At 44.0% G+C, this 20,563-nt stretch overlaps 2 protein-coding genes across 25 annotated transcripts in view, besides 3 other annotated features; one reads left to right on the plus strand and one right to left on the minus strand.

The window, feature by feature from the left end:
• Positions 1-122: 122 nt before the first annotated feature.
• On the minus strand, positions 123-19,717 carry FAM72A (family with sequence similarity 72 member A). 13 transcript variants are annotated; one of them, NM_001385240.1, is made up of 6 exons: positions 19,570-19,717; positions 17,788-18,005; positions 15,818-17,502; positions 13,751-13,828; positions 9,696-9,820; positions 123-1,317 (listed from the first exon to the last, which is right to left on the minus strand). In NM_001385240.1, exons 3-6 carry the CDS (start codon positions 15,967-15,969, stop codon positions 1,223-1,225), a joined length of 450 nt encoding a protein of 149 aa, NP_001372169.1. In that variant the 5' UTR covers positions 15,970-17,502; positions 17,788-18,005; positions 19,570-19,717; the 3' UTR covers positions 123-1,222. The 13 variants fall into 13 exon arrangements, 12 of the variants coding, with proteins under 12 accessions (NP_001372169.1, NP_001372170.1, NP_001372172.1 ...); NM_001385241.1 differs by lacking the exon at positions 19,570-19,717 and adding an exon at positions 18,196-18,657; NR_134239.2 differs by lacking the exons at positions 17,788-18,005; positions 19,570-19,717 and having other exon boundaries at positions 15,818-15,833; positions 16,554-16,783.
• Positions 17,180-17,309: an enhancer, noted in NCBI's record as "active region_2397". NCBI's record gives its function as "activates an Ori minimal core promoter by ATAC-STARR-seq in GM12878 lymphoblastoid cells {active_cell/tissue: GM12878}" and the evidence as "EXISTENCE:reporter gene assay evidence [ECO:0000049][PMID:35858748]".
• Positions 17,180-18,007: a biological region, named in NCBI's record as "H3K27ac hESC enhancer GRCh37_chr1:206137267-206137987".
• Positions 17,287-18,007: an enhancer, noted in NCBI's record as "H3K27ac hESC enhancer chr1:206137267-206137987 (GRCh37/hg19 assembly coordinates)". NCBI's record gives its function as "activates a minimal SCP1, AML or CMV promoter by ChIP-STARR-seq in naive H9 embryonic stem cells {active_cell/tissue: H9 hESC(naive)}" and the evidence as "EXISTENCE:reporter gene assay evidence [ECO:0000049][PMID:30033119]".
• SRGAP2 (SLIT-ROBO Rho GTPase activating protein 2) overlaps positions 17,485-20,563 on the plus strand; it is a 260,896-nt gene continuing 257,817 nt past the window's right edge. For 11 of the 12 annotated variants that reach the window (XM_011509354.3, NM_001377444.1, NM_015326.5 and 8 more), the window contains exons 1-2: positions 17,485-17,594; positions 19,373-19,981. In XM_011509354.3, coding sequence (XP_011507656.1) covers positions 19,915-19,981 — 67 coding nt within the window. In that variant the 5' untranslated portion in view covers positions 17,485-17,594; positions 19,373-19,914. Of the gene's footprint in view, positions 17,595-19,372; positions 19,982-20,563 lie in introns of those variants that run through there. The other variant, XM_047416533.1, reaches the window with a different exon arrangement.

The following is a 20,563-nucleotide window of genomic DNA, read 5'->3' on the forward strand; positions in this document are numbered from 1 at the left end:
TTTAAAAAAAAAGGAATAATAATGGTACCTACCTCATAGGTTTGTTGTGAGGAGTTAAACGTCTAAAGCACTTAGAACAGTGTCTGGCATATGGTAAGTATTCAATAAACATTAGCCTTATATTCTATACTTTAAGTACTATTTATTTATATTTTTACATACAATATGTGGGCATAACAAAAAATTAAAGGAAGAATGGTCATTTTTAGAAAAAACTTTATTTACAAAACCACAACTCAGTCTGCTTTGGTATTGACAAAATCCCTACAACTGAGATATTAAAGAGATACATTTATTTTAGAGTTACATAAAACCAGAATCCAACACTACCCTACTTTCCTATTCCTTTGTGGCTCTGAATGCAGCTTTAAAAAAACAAAACAAAGCAAAGCAAAGCAAAACAAAACAGCTCTTTATAATGTACAATGGCTTAAGCAAATCGCTTTAGTTTTTTTTCTATTTAAGATTTAGGACAGACTACTCGTCTAAAATTCACTATTTACAGAGAAGGTCCTAGGGAACAGGATAACTTATTTAGGTTTAGCTCTCATAATACAATATCCATAATGGCTTTAGAAGAATGTAAATAAATAACATTGGTAAACAGCGTATACTGATATTTTCTGACAAACTCATTTATCTAACATCATGCTGAGCAATCAAGAGGATTCCTCTATATATTTTAAATTTTAATTTATTCTATTTCCTGATTCACAAACTCTTGCTCCATGTTAAAGCAGTTATCACCAATAGAACCTATGAGAACCAGTGCCCATGGAAACCTAACAGCTTGTTTTTTTAATCCCCTATTAAAACTCGGTTGAACTTGATATATGCATGGTTGAAATATGCGTGGGTACTAGGCCTTTATTCAGGAATGTAAAATTAATGGTATCTGGTATCAAGTTGTAAGAAAAACTCCCCCAGATTGGGAGGTAACTGAGTGATATGTGAAAGAATCTTCCCCTGTCTGAATTTAAGAATACACCTACACTGGGCAGAAAAAGGTCGGGGAGAGGAAGTAGAAGTAGAGGAAAAGCACAACTTCACTGGCTTCAATCAAACTGAGGTAACTAATTAGAGACGGAAAATAAATAAATCAACAAATGCCCCATTTTTGTTTTCCAAAAAAGATCACTGGCAACTAACAATTTTAAAGTTGATCCATTAATATATTTTTAAATAGAAAAAAGTTTGTATATCATATATATCATAATTCCATTTATCTAATACACTCCTCTGCTGAGATATTTAACACATCTTCATCTGTACTCTCTTCTATCTCTGGCAAGTTGCCCCAAAGTAGGACGTTTACACCTGAAAATAAAAAGTCATAAAATTCTTTAATGCTTACTACTGTTATAACTCAGAACACGAATTACGAAACTTTATATGTTAATATTCTTATGTAAACCATAGTGTTAGCAGTAAAAAGAGTAGCTATTGAAGAATGTACTGCAAATAAAATTACCTAATATTATCCATCTAGGACATAAACTTTATTTATTTATTTTGAGAGAAATTCTCTCTGTGTTGCCCAGGCTGGAGTGCCTGGTAGGATCACGGTTCACAATCACAGATCACTGCAGCCTGAACCTCCAGGGCTCAAGTGATCCTCCTACCTCAGCCTCCCAAGTCACTGGGACTACAGGCGTGTACTACCACACATGGCTAATTTTATTTTGTAGATACAGGTTCCCACTATGTTGCCCAGGCTAGTCTCAAACTCCTGGGCTCAAGCAATCCTCTCTCCTTGACCTCCCAAACTGTTGGGATTACAGGCATGAGCCACCATGCCTGGCAAACACTTTTTTTTAAAGGGCTAGGACATAAACATTCTTTAAATCCTTTTAAGCAAGGGCTTGAATTCTAGAATTTTACAGCTCAAAAGGCTCTCAGGAGTCCATTTACTCAAACTCTGCCTCCAGCTGCATTATAACATAATCACTATACACTGATAATTTTCTGATCTATTTTAATGATGTTTAAGAATGGAGATCTCACAAGATCCTTTTAGATTAAATGCCTCTTTGGAGGGTTCAGGGAGAAGTCCTGAATAAGTCTCCTCATCCCTTCAATAAGCAGAGAAGTAGCTGGTGCCATTTTTCTGATTCAGAAAAAAAGCAAGGGTTCGGAGCCAGTTATAATATGAACTGCAATCCTTGGTACCAGTGGGTTTCAGTCCACAGGCAGAGCTTTAAACTGAACTTTAGGGCCAGGTTGCAGCAGTCACTATAATAAACAAAAGAATAATCAAAAACTTCACTGAGAAAGAATAGTCAGATTTCATATTGAAGAATGAAGCACAGGTATACAGTAAATGACTAAACATACAGTAGAGGATAATGACAAGTTTATTACTCTGGGTATATATTACATTATTAGTTAAAAGCACTAAATGGAAAATAACTGACCTCTAGGATAGCCAATTAACTTCACAAGAAAAGCAAATCTTTTTTTTTTTCTTTTTGAGTCGGAGTCTCGCTCTATTGCCCAGGCTGGAGTCGAGTGGTGTAATCTTGGCTCACTGCAACCTCTGCCTCCCAGGTTCAAGTGATTCTCGTGCCTCAGCCTCCCGAGTAGCTGGGACTACAGGCGAATGCCACCATGCCTGGGTAATTTTTGTATTTTTAGTAGAGATGGGGTTTCACCACGTTGGTCAGGGTGGTCTTGAACTCCTGACCTCAGGTGATCCCCCTCGCCTCGGCCTCCCAAAGTGCTGGGATTACAGATGTGAGCCACCACACTTGGCCAGAAAAACAAATCTTAAGCTGTCCAGTTATCAGTGTGGACACAAAGAGGATCCAGCAATTCAGGATACCCACCCCATATACACTGAGATAGCAGCCACATGGCGGAATGGAATGAGCCAGGATTTGGAGATTTGGTTTGAATCCAGTGTTTACCACTGCTAGTACACCATGCATGGTTTTACTACAAATGCATGCAACATAGACAATATATATTACTGTTTAGTGGATTTAAATTTTGTATAGAATGTTATTACACTACATATTGTTTTCTAATTTGCTTTTTCACTCGTCATGTTTTTGAGGTTAATCCATGTTAACTTGTGTAGATTTCGCTCATTTATTTTTACTTCTGGACAGTATTCCATTTTGTGAATTTTTAAAAATGTTGCAAATACAGCCCATTGCTCATCCCTTCCTCAGCTGCCCATCTTGCATAGGTGGTTCAAGGCGACATGCACAGGGATGTGTAGTGTGACATTGTTGAAACAGTAGAAATAATTAACTGTTTACCTTGACTGAGGGAGATACTGGAATCTAATCTGGCAAGAATTTAGCATGTATCTGATGCTGGTAGGGATACAGATGTGTATCTTATTATTTTCTATAATCTTTTTGTGTTTGAATTGTTTATAATAGAAAACGCTACCCCACCCCCACCCCCACCCTAAGAATGAATGGTGTTCTGCTCCAGGTAAATGTCATGGAAGAGCTGACAGGAAGAACTGTAAGGAATTGCGAGGCAAAAATCAAAGTGAAAATTAGAACCCATAAATGTAAATGGAGGGCTGAAGCCATTTTGACTCTGAGGGCATTTGCCAATTTCAGGAAATTTGAGCTGAGGTTTCCCAAGGCTCCTCCAGAAAGTTCTGGGAAATCAGGTCTCTAAATGAAGACTAGCCTAGAAAACAGACCTCCAGGAGTCCTTTTCAGTTTAAACATTATAGAATTTATAAAGCTTGTCTATGCATTCCTTTGACACTGCTGGTTCAGGTGATTCAAGGACAGTTGTGGCGCCATTAGAAACTTGCTTTGATACCAAGCATCTAGAAAATCTTGCTTGAAATCACAATATTAGGGTTACAAAGCAGAAGCTTGATATTCTTGGAGTCAGTACTCAGAGACATGAAGCAGCTCAGCACAATTGGTTCAAAGGAGGAAAAATAAACTAAGAGATTGGATCTGACAGAAGCAGCACCTTCCTTTCTCTGTTAAGAAGGGAGGAAGGAAATCCTGTGATACATCTGTTTCTTATGGATTAGATTCAGTGCAAATGGAAGAATGCGGGGCTTTTATCTTTGAAAAATTGACCAATATTAAAAAGTAAATCAAACTTGAAAAATCTCCACCCTGTGTTTTGAATTCTGTAAAGCAGGAAAAATACTATCAAAGCAGAAACTTCCTTTAATGTGTCCCATGGGCAACACAAATATAAAACTGGAGGCTTAAATTAGGAGACTGTATCCCACTTATGGGAGTTCAGATAAGTCCTTACATGAAAATGGCCTTCTTAACATACCAAAGTTTTAAATTAAGACCCCATAAATGATAGATTGAGAGCCACAGTTGAGTCCCAGATAAAAAAATCAAATCTACAAAAATCTAAGCATAATTGGAGGATTTAAAGACCCTTGACAACCTAGCTTGCAATTCGTGATCTTTTGGTCTGTGAAGGCAAATCATATATTTAAAAAATACATTTAAGTTCTAAAGGAGACTAAAACTTGCATTTAGGAACCTAAGAATGCTAGTGTCAACTTAGATTGTCAAGTTACTTAAAGTCAGCTGGCGAGGTGTCTCAGGCCTGTAATCCCAGCCCTTTGGAGGCCAAGGTGGGCAGATCACTTGAGGACAGGAGTTCGAGACCAGCCTGGGCAAAATGGCAAAAACTGGTCTCTACGAAAAATACAAAAAATTAGACAGGGATGGTGGCACACACCTGTGGTCCCACCTATTGAGAAGGCTGAGGTGGAAGAATGGCTTGAGCCTGGGAGGTCGAGGCTGCAGTGAGCCAAGATTGTGCCACCACACTCCAGCCTGGGTGACAGAGCAAGACCCTGTCTCCAAAAAAAAAAAAAAAGTTCCTTAAAATCAACTTGGTCTGTTGTGTAAATAGATGTTAGACACGGAGAACATGTGTCTTATAACAAAACTCAATGGCTCCAGGCAATATAAAAAGTATTATATAAATCCCCTTTAAAAATTGGTACTTTGGCCGGTGCAGTGGCTCACACCTGTAATCCCAGCACTTTGGGAGGCTGAGGTGGGCGGATCACCTGAGGTCAGGAGGTCGAGACCAGCCTGGGCAACATGGCAAAACCCCGTCCCTACTAAAAATACAAAAATTAGCCAGGTGTAGTGGTGCGCACCTATAATCCCAGCCACTCAGAAGGCTGAGGCAGGAGAATCACTTGAACCCGGGAGGTGGAGGTTGCGGTGAGCCGAGATCACGCCACTGCTCTCCAGCCTGGGTGACAGAATGACTCCATCTCAAAAAAAAAAAAAAAAAAAGGTACTTCAGGCCAGGCATGGTGACTCACGTCTGTAATCCCATGTAATCCCAGCACTTTGGGAGGCTGAGGCAGGCGGATCCCCTGAGGTCAGGTGTTCAAGACCAGCCTGACCAACATGGTGAAACCCTGTCTCTACTAAAAATACAAAAAAATTAGCTGGGCGTATGCCTGTAATCTCGCTACTCGGGAGGCTGAGGCATGAGAATCGCTTGAACCTGGGAGGCAGAGGCTGCCATGAGCCAAGATGACACCATTGCACATCAGCCTGGGAAACAAGAGTGAAACTCTGTCTCAAAAAAAAAAAAAAAGAATTAGTATTTCAGTGCCTCAGCACCTTAACACAAGGAAAAAGAAATTTTTTTTTTTTTAAAAGAATTGGTAGTGTACTTTCTTACTAAAATATTATTTTTTTTTTTTTTTTTTTTTGAGACAGGGTCTCACTCTGTTGCCCAGGCTGGAGTGCAGCGGTGCCACCTCGGCTTACTGCAACCTCCACCTCCCAGGTTCAAGGGGGGTTTCATCATATTGGCCAGGCTGGTCTCGAACCCCTGACCTCAAGTGATCATTGGTCTTGGCCTCCCAAAGTGTGGGATTACAGGTGTGAGCCACCATGCCTGGCCTTGCTAAAATAATTAGTATAGGCATACCTCAATTGTGCTTTAGTTTATTGTACACCATAGATACTGGGCTTTATATAAATGGAAGGTTTTGGCAATCCTGCATTGAGTAAGTCTAACAGCATATGCTTACCTTGTGTCTGTTACATTTTGATAATTCTCTCAATATTTCAACCTTTTTCATTATTATTATATATATTATGGTGATCTGTGATCTTTGATGTTACTGTTATAATTGTTTCAGGGTGCTATGAACCACACCCACTTAAGACCACACCCACTTAAGACTGCAAACTTAATCGATAAATATTTTGTGTGTTCTGACTGCTCCACTGACCAGCTGTTCTCTCTCTCTTTCCTGGGGCCTCCCTATTTCCTAAGATACAACAATATTGAAATTGGGCCAGTTAATATCCCTACAATGACCTCTAAGTGTTCAAGTGAAAGAGAGTGGCATGTCTCTCACTGTAAATCAAAAGCTAGAAATGATTAAGCATAGTGAGGAAGACATATTGAAAGCTGAGACAGGCTGAAAGTTGGGCCTTTTATGCCCAATTGTTAGCCAACTTGTGACTGCAAAGAAAAGTTCTTAAAGGACATAAGAAGTGCTACTCCAGTGAAAACAAGAATAAAAAAGTGAAATAGCCTTATTGCTGATATGGAGAAAGTTTTAGTGACCTAGATAGAGGATTAAACCAGCCATGATATTCTCTTAAGCGAAAACCTAATCCAGAGCTAGGTCTTAACTCTCTGCAATTCTATGAAGGGCAAGAAAGTTGAGGAAACTGTAGAAGAAAGTTTGAAGCTAGCAGAGGTTGGTTTATAAAGTTTAAGGAAAGAAGCCATTTCTATAACATACAAGTTCAGGTGAAGCAAAAAGTGCAGATGTAGAAGCTGCAGCAAGTTATCCAGAAGATCTAGCTAAGATTATGGATGAAGGTGGCTACACTAAACAACAGATTTTTCTTTTCTTTTCTTTTCTTTTTTTTTTTTTGAGATGGAGTTTCACTTTTGTTGCCCAGGCTGGAGTGCAATGGCATGATCTTGGCTCACCGCAACCTCCGCCTCCCGGGTTCAAGCCATTCTCCTGCCTTAGCCTCCCAAGTAGCTGGGATTATAGGCATGCGCCACCATGCCCAGCTAATTTTGTATTTTTAGTAGAGACGGGGTTTCTCCATGTTGGTCAGGCTGGTCTCGAACTCCCAACCTCAGGTGATCTGCCCGCCTCGGCCTCCCAAACTGCTGGGATTACAGGCGTGAGCCACCGCGCCCGGCCTCTTATTCCTTTTTTTTTTTCAGATGGAGTTTCACTCTTGGTGCAATGGTGCGATCTCGGCTCACTTCAAACTCCACCTCCTGGGTTCAAGTGATTCTTCTGCCTCAGTCCCCCAAGTAGCTGGGCATGTACCACCACGCCCAGCTAATTTTTTATTTTTAGTAGAGGCAGAGTTCTACTATATTGGTCAGGCTGGTCTTAAACTCCTGACCTCAGGTGATCCATCCACCTCGGCCTCCCAAAGTCCTGGGATTATAGGCGTGAACCACTGCGTCCGGCAGAGATTTTTAATATACACAAAACAGCCTTCTATTGGAAGGAGATGCCATCTAGGACTTTCATAGCTAGAGAGGAGAAGTAATACTTGGCTTCAAAGCTTCAAAGGATAGGCTGAATCTCTTGTTAGAGGATAATGCAGCTGGTGACTTTAAGTTGAATCCAATGCTCATTTACCGTTCCGAAATTTCTAGGGTTCTTAGGAATTATGCCAAATATACTTTGCCTGTGCGCTGTCAATGAAACAACAAAGCCTGGACGACAGCAAATCTGTTTACAGCATGTTTTACTAACTATTTTAAGCCCATTGTTAAGACCTACTGCTCAGAAAAATCCCTTTGAAAATATTACTGTTCATTGACAATGCACCTAGTCACTCAAGAGCTCTGATGGCATTGTACAAGGAGATAAATATTGCTTTAATGCCTTAACATAACATCTATTTGGCAGCCCATGGATCAAGAAGTAATTTAATCTTTCAAGTCTTATTATTTAAGAGATAGATTTCATAAGGCTATAGCTGCCATAGATAGTAATTCTTCTGATGGATCTGGGCAAAGTACATTGAAAACCTGGAAAAGCACATTCCTGATTCATGGGAGGAGGTCAAAATATCAGTCTTAACAGGAGTTTGAAAGAAGTTGATTCCAACCCTCATGGGTAACTTTGAGAGGTTTTAGACCTCAGTGGAGGAAGTAACTGCAGATGTGGTAGAAATAGCAAGAAAACTACACTTAGAAATGGAGCCTGAAGACGTGACTGCATTGCTGCAATCTCATGATGAAACTTTAATGGATGAAGAGTTGCTTTTTATGGATGAGCAAAGAAAACGGTTTCTTGAGGTGAAATCTACTCTTGATGAAGATGCTGTAAATATTGTTGAAATGAAAACAAAGGATTTAGAATATTACATAAACATAGTTGGTAAAGTAGTAGCAGAATTTGAGAGGATTGACTCCAATTTTGAAAGAGGTTCTACTATGTGTAAAATTCTATCAAATAGCATCACATGCTACAGAGAAATCTTTTGTGAAAGGAAGAGTCAATCCATGCGGCAAACCTCATTGTTGTCTTATTTTAAGAAACTGCCACAGCCATCCTAACCTCCAGCAACCACCACCCTGATCAGTTTGCAGTCATCAACATCAAGGCAAGACCCTCCACCAGCAAAAAGATTATGACTTGCTGAAGGTTCAGATGATCATTAGCAGTTTTTAGCAATAAAGCATTTTTTTTTCTTTTTTGAGACAGGGTCTCATATTGTTGCCCAGGCTGAAATGCACTGGCATGATCACAGCTCACTGCAGCCTCTACCTCCCAAATTCAAGTGATCCTCCCACCTCAGCCTCCTGGGTAGCTGGGACGATAGTATGCCCCACGATGCCTGGATAATTTTTGTATTTTTTTTGTAGAGATGAGGTCTCAGCATGCTGCCCAGGCTGGTCTCAAACTCCTGGGCTCAAGTGATCCTCCCGCCTTGGACTACCAAAGTGCTGGGATTACAGGCATGAGCCACTGCTCTCGGCCGAATAAGTATTTTTTGATTAAGGTATGCACATTGTTTTTTAAATGTCCTGCTATTGCACACTTAATAGACTACAATATATTGTAAACATAACTTTTATACACACTGGGAAACCAAAAAATTGTGTGACTTGCTTTAATTGTGATATTTGCTTGCTTTATTATGGTGGTCTGGAATTGAACCTACAATATCTCCACTTGTGCCTGTACAACATACTTTATACTTTGGTGTCAAATATTTCCCTTGACTAAAATTCTGTCATAACGTATTAACATAGATGTCGAAATGTCTGTTTTTATTCTGAAGCATCACCAAATACAGAGGTTACTTAGTCCTCCTCCTCTCAACTCCCATTGCCCTAGGCCTGGCCTCTCCCTTTCTTACACACACACACAGACACACACATGCATTAGACTATCAAATCTAAAATCTTCAAAAATTCTCTGGAGTCAGAATATGTATCAAGGCAGCAGTTAAGAGCAATTATAATATTCATTTTAAAAGACCAAGAAATTCAGCCAAGTTTGAGGCCTTAAGTACAAGGATGAACATAGAAATGACAATGAATTTTGCCTAATAGTTTTCATAAGTGAATGTCTGGGAAAAAAGAATTGAAGTTTCACTCTAGCTAATCCAGCTAAGAAGATCTAAAAGGAATCCTGAAATGATCTATTGGGAATTTTACTCAGGTATTGATAGAGAAATGTTACAGGAATGTCCAAGTCAATTGTTTCTTACCTGTGGAGTCTAGTCTGTTAATATCATAAACTGCCTGGCTGTGAAACATCCAGAAGTGTCCGTTGTTGCAGGAAAGAAGACAGGAACTACATGGAACAATCACATGATAACCTACAATGTTCCCACTAGAAAAGAAAGTAAATGTTACTAGATACCATGTAATAACTAGCCAGATAAGTCTTTTCATATTGCTTATATAAATAGACCATATAATTTAGATCTCATTTCCTAACAACTTTCATTGCTGAGATCTTTGGGATGGGATGGGGGTGCAGTTCTACCATCAAGTGGGAAAGCAGTCTTTAAGTGAATAATAGTAAAATATTCTCACATTTCTTTGCTATTATTATTATTATTATTATTATTATTGAGACCGAGTTTTGCTCTTGTCACCCAGGCTGGAGTGCCTGCAACCTCCGCCTCCCAGGTTCAAGTGATTCTCCTGCCTCAGCCTCCAGAATAGCTGGGATTACAGGCGTGTGCCACCATGCCCAGCTAACTTTTGTGTTATTAGTAGAGATGGGGTTTTACCATGTTGGCCAGGCTGGTCTCGAACTCCTGACCTCAGGTGATCCACCTGCCTTGGCCTCCCAAAGTGCTGGGATTACAGGCATGAGCCACCATGCTTGTCCTGCTAGTATTATTTTATGCATTCTCCCTTCAGAAGTTAGCTTCTAGATGCCATAATGTTGTGATTTGTTTTATAAACCACCCAAATTGATGTGCTGTACAGACAAAATAAATTAAATTAACTCAGTTCTGTGGGTAAAGGTTTTTGCTATCCCAGGACTGTGGCAAGTTGGGTTCTTACATGTTCTAGTTTCATGCCAGCACCTAAAAACTGTTTCAACAGATGGAGAGGTAGGAAGACAGCATGAGTCCCTGTAAACCAAATACAATCTGGCTGCTCTAATTTTAGTCTCAGTGTTTTTGAAGGAACTCAGAAATAAAGCAATCTACAGCCTCCAGAGAAAGTTGCAAAAGTTTTTACAGTTTTCAGAATTATCCAGCTGATTATAAGTACCTCAGTCTTTCACAATTTTTTTTTTTTTTTTAACTAGCTAGTCACATATTAAATAGAGTGAACCTACAGGGAATGTTTTAGCTAGTACTTTAAAAAAAATAGCAACATGAACTGTTTATACCTTGAGTTGTAAAAATTCTTATTCAAGCTTAGTCTTACTCTGTGAGATTTGTGAGTCAGTCATTTTTATGAGACCCAATAAAGATTACTATAAAAGGTACCATTCCACCTAAAATATGTCTTCTAATTATAACTTGCTTGAAAGGCAAACAAATGAAAACAAAAGTTGTGTTTGGACTAGGAGTGCCAGTTATTTGTAAGACTATATTGCAAAAGTAAATTCCATGACTTTAATTACCGCCTATATTCATTCATTCATCCATTGATTCATCACTTAAACTAACATTTATTGAGTATCTACTATCTTTCAGGCACTGCTCTAGGTGCTAGGAATACACTGGTAAACAAAACAAAGCCCTTGTTCTCACGGAGCTAACAGTCTAGCGAGGCTACATCAGATCATTCTGCTCCCTGGTTAAAACCTCTTCAATAGCCAAAAATGAAAATAAAAACCTTTCCATACCAAGGTCCAGATCTATGCTGTCAAGAATAATAGCCACTAGCCACATGTGGCTGTTGTACACTTGCAGTGGGGCTGGCCTGAATTGAGATGTGCTGTTAAGTGTAAAATGTACACCAGATTTCAAAGAGTAAGACCAAAAAATGGAATATAAAATATTACATTAGTAGTTTATGTTGGTTACATGTTGAAATAATATTTTGGATACATTGGGTTAGACAAAATATATGATTAAAATTAACTTTCCTGTTTTGGTTTTCTTTTGAAAATGTTGTTCTTCGGGTGCGGTGGCTCATGCCTGTAATCCCAGCACTTTGGGAGGCTGAGGCGGGTGGATCACTTGAGGTCAGGAGTTCGAGACCAGCCTGGCCAACATGGCGAAACCCCACCTCTACTAAAAATACGAAAATTAACTGGGCATGGTGGCACGTGCCTGTAGTCCCAGCTACTCGGGAGGCAGAGGTGAGAGAATCACTTGAACCCAGAAGACGGAGGTTGCAGTGAGCCGAGATCATGCCATTGCACTCCAGCCTGGGCAACAGAGCAAGACTCCGTCTCAAAACAAAACAAAAAAAATGTCGTTGCCCAGGTGCGGTGGCTCACACCTGTAATCTCACACTTTGGGAGGCCGAGGCAGGTGGATCACTTGAGGTCAGGAGTTTGAGACCAGCCTGGCTAACATGGCGAAATCCCGTCTCTACTAAAAATACAAAAATTAGCTGGGTGGGCTGGGTGCGGTGGCTCACGCCTGTAATCCTAGCACTTAGGGAGGCCAAGGCAGGCGGACTGCCTGAGCTCAGGAGTTTGAGAGCAGCCTGGGCAACACGGTGAAACCCTGTCTCTACTAAAATATGAAAAATTAGCTGGGCATGGTGGTGCGTGCCTGTAGTCTCAGCTACTCAGGAGGCTGAGGCAGGAGATTCGCTTGAACCTGGGAGGCGGAGGTTGCAGTAAGCTGAGATCGTGCCACTGCACTCTAGCCTGGGTGACAGAGCAAAACTCCGTCTTAAAAAAAAAAAAAAAGAAAGAAGAAAATAATGTCCAAAGGCCAGTGACTTCATCTAGTTTTTGTTGTATTTCCAGCCCTTGTAACAATGACTACCACATACTAGTTCCTCAATACAAGTATAGCTTAAATAAAGGAATGAAATCAAATAGCACATAAGAAGAGCTTGCCAATTTAAATTATTAGGATTGTCATTTATAATACAAACCCCTTCTAAATACAAACCCCATCTAAATGAGAAAATTTCAACTTTTATCCTCCTAAAATGAAAATAATAACACGTCTACTCAAAAGATTATAGTAATAGCTCTCAGCTGTTGTAATTTATAGTTTATTGAGCACTTTAACATTCATATTTGCTCTTTATAATAACTTGATAAGGTAAACACAGAAGATTATTAAATTTCTATCTTAATAAGACAGAATGGCTGGGTGGGGTGGCTCATGCCTGTAATCCCAGCACTTTGGCAGGCCGAGGCAGGCGGATCACCTGAGGTTGGGAGTTCAAGAGCAGCCTGACCAACATGGAGAAATCCTGTCTCTACTAAAAAAAAAAAAAAAAAAAAAAAAATTAGCTGGGCATGGTGGTGCGTGCATGTAATCCCAGCCACTCAGGAGGCTGAGGCAGGAGAATCACTTGAACCTGGGAGGTGGAGGTTGTGGTGAGCTTAGATCGCGCCATTGCACTCCAGCCTTGGCAACAAGAGCAAAAACTCCTTCTCAAAAAAAGAAAGAAAGAAAGAAATTAAGGTAGGATGCAGTGGCTCATACCTGTAATCCCAGCCTTTTGGGAAGCTGAGGAGAGAGGATCACTTGAGGCCAGGAGTTTGAGATCAGCCTGGGCAACATAGCAAGACCCTATTGCTACAAAAATAAAAAACTTAGCCAGGTCTGGTGGTGCCTGCCTGTAGTCCCAGCTACTCAGGAGGCTGAGGTAGGAGAATCACTTGAGCCCAGGAGTTCAAGGCTACAGTGAGCTATGATCATGCCACTGCACTCCAGCCTGAGCAACAGTATGAGACCCCTCTAAAAACAAAGAAAGAAGGAGTAATAACCTAGAAATTAAATAAGAAAACAGAGGTTCAGCAGTTTAGAGGCTAAAGGAGTTCACTCAAGATCACATAGAGAGTAAGGGTAGGGTCAGACCTCAAACATGATTTTTATTATTGTAAATCCAGGTGTTTCTCCCCCCTAACCTACATTGCCTTGTTCTGAAAATTGAAGCGGATACTGTGAATACACTTTGAAAACTGTAAAATTATATACTAATGTGAAGCATCAGAAAACCCTTTTAAAAAATAGCTCTAAGTAATAAGTAATTTTTCAATGGCTCATTGCATGCTTTATACCAGTCCTTGTTGCAGCCCACTGAACCTTTCTCTATGCTTTGGTGTCAATATCCATCTTCCAAACCCAGAGCTATCCAGAATAGTGCCACAAATTACCATTTTAAACATGCGATGTCCTTCAGTTTACATTTGCAGATTTTGGTGAAATAGCATCTTCCAGTGAAGTCCACTGCGCTGGAGAGAGAAAGGTATAAAAAGACAGTCAGATGTACTTTACAAAAAATTTAATTGTGGCAAAAAATTAACAAAATTTACCAACTTAACAAGTTTTATGTGTGCAGAGCAGATGTGCTAAATATAATCACATTGCTGTGTAATGAATCTCCTGGGTTCAAGTGACCCTCCTACCAGAGTTTCCTGAGTAGGTGGAACTATAGGCGCCCTATACCACATTTTGTTTATCTGTTCATCTGTAGAATCAATGGACATTTGGATTGCTTCCACCTCTTGGCTATTGTGAATAATGCTGTTAATGAACATGGGTGTGCAAATATCTCTTCCAAGATCCAGTTTTGAATTATTTTGGATATGTACCCAGAACTGCTGGATCAGATAGTAATTCTACGCTTGATTTAGCACAAATTTTGTCAATCCAAAGAGCTGAAAGCTAACATAGAACTATAGTATATTTTTAAAGAGTCAGTTCATATTTGTGAGCTCAACATAAACATCTGACAAATTTTCCATTAAAAAAATTTTTATGTGTTCATTGATTCACATACATCTTAGCACGCTAATTCATTATTATTTTAACCCCTACAAAGAAGGGTAGAAAATGGGAAAAACATGATTCTATTCTAGACTTGGGTCTAACCTGTAACAATTCACCTAGCCTTCCTTATGACTGCCCTATTACTTACCATAGCTATTGCAAAGATGAATGGGTTAATATTTTAAATTTGTGTATGAGCTACTAAAAAGAAAAAGCAGTGGACAATGAATCACAGAACTTTGTAGCAGTAGGTTCTATGATTTATTTTCTAGTGTTTTCCCTTTTTTGAAATACATATACGATGTACACACACACAAATGTAAAATATTAACTTAGAATTTAAAAAAATTAAAAAGATTTTAAAATAACACATTTATCTCTGCAATAAATGAGAGCCTTTGGCTTTGCTGTTAGACATGATTACACTTAGACCAATTCAGAAAAGATTTCAAGAAAGGAAGAGTACACAGCTTTACCTGGGTAAATCAAAAAACTTGTAAAGTTTCTATCATTATCATGAAATTCATTTAAAATGAATTGTGGTTATTAACCTGCTTCCTCTGGCTCTATATCCAAAGACTTAGAGAATAACTGTCCACTCATATTTTGGATAATTACTTTCCTTTTAATAATAAAATTTCAATAAATAACTAAATTTTGAAGATTCATGTAGGGCATATATATGTTGATTATGGAAAGGGAAAGTACCATTTAGAGCTAGAAAGAGGTTTATTTGAGTCAAATAAAATGGCTATTTTACCAAATAGGAAGCAAATTCTTAAGGACTCTACACCCAAAAGCAGTTAGTGGCTGAAAACAAACAGATTTTAAAAGGGTTCAATTATGGGAACAAATGTGTAATGTCCAAAATAGTCTTTATTGGAGATAAGGATTAAGGCTAAGTCTCTATTTTTCATCCCATAAAAATCTATTTACATCTCTTTCAGAGAGAGAGAGTTTTGAGGAAAGAAAACTGAATTTGATGAACAACGGATCTGATTTAGGATGCCAATTGCAAATAATGATAGAAAACGGATTTTTTTTTTTTTGGTGCAAAATTTCATGGATAAAAATGAAAAACTTAAATGACCTCTCCTCTCCAACAGTACGGAAAATTTTGCCTGAATTTACCTAAAGTCTACGCCACGGACTTGATTCAGTGAAATAGGATGGTTGGGCAGGGCACTGAACCAGGGATCAAACTTAAGAGATGTGTGGTCGCATGACTGCAATTGAACTAGAAGCATTACATCAGGACTGACCACCTTGGCTAAACCACAGACTTTGTCCAGACAGTCTGCCCACTTAGATATATTCCAAGGGGATCATCAAACTGGTGGGAGTGGCTGAAACACCGAAATGATAACCTCCTTGTTGACTCCCACAGATCCAAGCCATAAGTGTTCCCATTTAGTTAAAAGCTACCGTTGCCCGCCACTAGCATGACTTACTTGGTAGGAGGGATGTCTGTAGAGAAAAGGTCTATTTCAGTATCAGCCAGCAAAACAGCCTTCATTCCCCTAGAGCTGAGCACTTGTTTACAGAATTTGCAACACAGGATGGACACGCACCTGTCCTTGAAACTACAAATGTTGGTAGACATGGCGTCGCAGGAAGGATGAGGTGTGGGATTTTGAAAAAGGAAACAAGAGTAATGCTCCTACTATTTTGATTCCCCTAGGCTAAAATTCAAATTGCGGGACCTAGAGCTTTTCTAAGTCCTAATATTGGGAAGGAAATTAGTTTTTTTTTCTGTTTTCCCGGTGGCGGAGTAGAAGAAGTATTTATTGAGTAGGAACAGGGGAGCGTGGCAAACTTGGCTTTCCTTTTAACTTTTGGAGAAGGGAGTGGAGTTTGAATTGGAGAGGAGGCAGGTGGAGTTTGAAGGGAACTTCTCAACGGCTTTCCCTTTCTGCTGTCTAAAGGAGTCCTCTACACTTCAGCTCCCGCCCCTTCATAGCAATTCCCTCAGCCTTCTCCGATCGTCTAATTTAAAGCTTCTCCTCTTTTAAGACATCCCTTCCCCAGCATTAAGCCCCTCCCCCGGAGCGCTCCGGTTCCCTGCTGTCGGATCTCGGGCTAAGCGTCCCTACCCACGCCTCCTCTTCCCAGGATTCAGAAACTCCCTTCTCTTTTTCTGCCAGGCGATCCCGGATTCTCCTCCGTCCCGCCCCTTTTCTCCCGGACCTTCCTCCGCTCTGCGGGTCCGCGGGCCCCTCTCCTGGCAACCCCCGGCCCTCAGCGTGCTCGCGCTGTTTCTCTCGCGTCCTCCCTTCCCTCAGCTGTCCCTCGTGCCCCCCGCAGTCCCCTCAGGTTTCTTCCCGGAGCGGCTGTTCCCGGGCGCGCGGTGGTGTTGGTGGGGCAGAGCTGAAGTCGCTTTAGAGGCTCAGTCGGCGCTGGGGTCTGTCACCGAACACGTTGGTTTTCGCTCCCTCTTCCGCTTTTCCTGCCTCTCCAACCCGGTATCAGTTTGAATTGCCAGCGCCGCGCACCGATTGGAAGAACTAGAGTTAGCCCCAGTCCCTCATTGGAAGGCTCCGGGGCCTCCCCTCACGAGAGCTTAGTGGCTTGAAGACCGTAGGCACCGCCCCAGTAACGGTGCTGAGATCAATTCGGCTTTCTGGTTGGCTGAGCTTGGCTCCGCCTCCGATCTCATTGGCCGGCTTCGGGAGGTTTCGGCAAACCCTGCCTTCGCCCTAGTGAAAGTGGCAAGGCACGCCCTTCCCGCTTCTTATTGGAAGAGGTTCTACAGTCTCCACCGGTCTCTACTCTTTATTGGTTAAAACTCCCCGCAACACCCCTCCTCTCTACCCCGGCCCAATTGGCCGTGCCTTAGCTCAAGAGTTTGTGTTTGGTCGTCGGTTCCACCTTAATCCCGCCCATCAGTTCTACTTAGGGGTTCAACAACCCGGGGTGGAGCTTAATCTGTGACCACGCCTCGGCAGTGCTAGTCACACCTCCAAGTTTTGCCAGCTCCTCCCCCTCATTCCGGGCCTCTCGGGATCAGCTCTTCCTATTGGCTATGGGCCCCATCGGTCGATAGAAAACGGGCGGTGATTGGTAAAGGGGTGGGCTCTACTTCCCGGCGGGGTCCTGCGGAGTTGGCGGAGGCTCCTCCAGGGACTGGGGCACCGATCTGCGTAGAAACGGGTGGCGGGGAAGAGAGGGGAGGAGAGCTCTGAGTGGGAAGCGGAGCCGGGGGCCTGGGACCCGTCGCGTCAGAGCCAGGTAAAGGCTCCTTCCCTCTTCCTTTTCTTCCTCCCGGCCGCCGGGCTGGAGCCCTGACTGAACAAACCGGGGCTGGGGCGGGAAGGAGAGGGCGCGGATGCTGCTCGCGGCATCGCCTTAGCGGTGCCGCCCGGAATCCCTCAGACCGCCCCCCCTCCACCCTCTCCAAATCTCCCAGTACAGCCCATAATACTTCTCAGGACTGCGAGTCTCTCCGCCCATCACTGTACAGCCTGGGACTCCGTCCTGGCTCACGGACCGCAGCGCAGCCGGCACCCAGCCGCCTCTCCCTTTCCTCCGCACACGGGCAGCCGCGGTCCACCGTAGGGCAGTCGTCGTTGGCATCGCGCGTAATCATCGGCCGGCCTCCTCCAGTGTCTCCCAGCCCTGGCGGACAGCCCGGGTCCCAGCCTAGGACCCAGGAGGATGGGTGTTCCGCGCAGCTTCCGGGGCTCTCCCCGAGTCCCACCCCCCGGCCCGCCCCGATGGACTTCTCTTCGCCCACTCCCATCCCTAGACCACATCTCGGCCCCCACAGTTCCTGACATCCTTGCGCTTCACGCAACATCGCGGCCCATGATCATGCCCCAATTCCCCTCACCTCTAAGGCAGCCTTCTCCTTGCCGCCTCCCGCCTTCCGAGCGTGTGCAACTCCAATTGTCCCCGGGCTCCCTTCCAGCCTCAGGACCCCATCTCACACCCGCCTCTCGCTTCCCGCTTCCCGCTCGCCTGAACCCCGCCGCCTCTGCTCCCTGTCTTGTTCCCTCAGCGTGGCCCCTTCCTCCAGCCGCGGGAAGTGGGAGACGCTAGCGGGAGCTTCCTCCTCCCGGCGCTCGGAGGAAAAGGAAAGACCAAGTAGAAAGGGTCGCCGCTGCGGCACGCGAGGGAGCTAGTCGCCGGGCTCCGCGCTCCCGCTTGCGTCCCTCCAGCCCCCTGGGCCTCGTCCGGGGCCGGATCTTCTCGGGCACCGCCTGGTGCGAGGAGTCAGGACTGCGACCTCACCGACCTCCTCCCATCCCCAGCCTGGGATTGGGTGGGATATCTGGGATCTCTGAGCTTGGGTGTCAAAAAAATATTGGGGGTGGCATTTATAGTCACTATCGTCCCTAGCTTGAGGGAGGCGACGGCTGCCTTCCGCTCGCCGCCCCCCGGTTTTCCCGGCTCCGACCCTATCCTCTAACCCGTTTCCTGCTTCAGCTGACCACATTGTTTTCCTGGATGTGTCCCGTGCCGAGCAGGCTTTTTCCTGCAGATTTGCCCCCCCCCCCATCAACATTTTGCTGCCAAGAGAAGCTAGTAACCAAAAACAAAACAACTGGGAGGAGGGGCGGGAGAGGAAGAAAAGTTGTGCCCTGGTGGCTTATCCCTCCCCGGCTTTGATCCCCTTTGATGTACAGGGAGGTGCCCCGGCCGGGGGTCTGGGGCCACGTCGGGGGCTAGGTCGGGAGGGCTCCCTCGGGCTGGCCGCTGCCCAGCGCTGGCGGGGCTCAGGAGGCCGCCGAGGTGCCGCAGTCCCCGCCTGGTGCCCCGCGTTCCTGCAGTCCCCGCCCGGAGCCCGCGCAGGCGGCTGCTCCAAAGTGTTTTCTTTCAGCCTTAAAATCCGGAGGGAGCTTCCTTCCTCCCCACCTCGTAGCGCCAGGCTCTGCGGGCGGGGAGACGTTAAGCGGACAGGAATGGGCCCAGGGCGGGCTCGGAACGACGTCCCCTACCCCACCCCCGCCGCGATTAGGATCTGCGCTCTGGCTGATCGCCCCCTCCCCCTTTTCCTGCATTTACAGGCAAGTGAACCGGAGCAAACGACTTCCGATCCAGTCTGCGCTGTTGCGGCTCCCGTTTGGGATTTGATTTGCAGCATCTTTGAGCCTCTACGACAAAAAACCGCGAAGCACGCCCAGCCCTCCCCCGGCACCCCGAAAAGCACCCACTCCCTCCCGGGGACACAGCTGGGCGCGTCCACACCCCCGCAGCCCCACACCATGTTGTGCGGAAGGACTTCCACTCCCCGCCTGTGTCGTTGATGTCAGACCCCAGGCCAGCCTCCGGGCGCTGCAGTTCTCCCGGCTAATGCTGAGGCTGCGGCTCCGGCTCTAGCACAGGCACCAGCCGCCGCCGCACCCGGCCCCAGCGCCCACCGTCTGCATGTGCCCGCCGTAGCCGTCTGCCCAGCCCGCAGCCCGCGCTCCACGGAGCGCTGGAGACCACCGTGGGGGGCCCCTTCTGCCCTCGAGAGAAGCGGTCTTGGAGGTATTGATTTAGGTGGTTGGATTTTTTCCGTGGATCTATCAATTCACAATTCGAATTTGGAAGAAAGAAGGAAAACATGACGTCTCCAGCCAAATTCAAAAAGGATAAGGAGATCATAGCAGAGTACGATACTCAGGTCAAAGGTAAGGGCTTTGAAAAATAGCACACTGCAAATGCTCTGTGGACTGGTGAGGCGTGTATTTCCACCGTGATTTGCAGGTTGTTCATTTCTTTGGGTGGAGCAGATGGGGGCAGGCTGACCCCAGAGGTGGTTTCATAGATGGGTCTGAACCTCCAAAGGATGGGCAATGCCAGGGGGCCATTGACACTGGAAAGGAATTTTTGCAGTGGGCTGTAGGAGTATCTTTGTGGGGCTGACCATGATTTTGGCAGCCCTTTCCCCCCCAAGCCGGACAGGGTGGGGGGAGGGGCAGGAGGCTCTTAGAGAAAGGCAGTTTGCCTCCGGTTCTCTGGGTCAGGTTTCCTTGAAAGACAACTGAAATCTGACAGGTGTTTGGACATTTGTTTCAGAGATTGAAGAGGAGTCCAGACAGAAAGGCAACCTTGGGAAGGTGTACCATTTGGAGAGCCTTGGGAGAGGCGGGGTTTTTCGGATGCACTATATTAAAACATGAGATTTGCAATGGCATTGGCACCAAAAGTCCATTGCCACCTTGGGTGTACCTTGTACCTGCCTGGTCTCTGGTCGGCCTGCATACAATCAG

This window comes from Homo sapiens, chromosome 1, assembly GCF_000001405.40.
Source record: "Homo sapiens chromosome 1, GRCh38.p14 Primary Assembly".
In the NCBI taxonomy this organism is placed as follows: Eukaryota; Metazoa; Chordata; class Mammalia; order Primates; family Hominidae; genus Homo; species Homo sapiens.

Coding starts and splice junctions, on each gene's coding strand:
- FAM72A (NM_001385243.1), bottom strand. CDS start 17,939: ATGCCAACGACGACTGCCCTACGGTGGACCGCGGCTGCCCGTGTGCGG. Junction 9,821..13,750: donor GACATCGCATGTTTAAAATG/GTAATTTGTGGC, acceptor TTTCTTTTCTAG/TGGGAACATTGTAGGTTATC. Junction 1,318..9,695: donor TAACAGACTAGACTCCACAG/GTAAGAAACAAT, acceptor TTTTATTTTCAG/GTGTAAACGTCCTACTTTGG.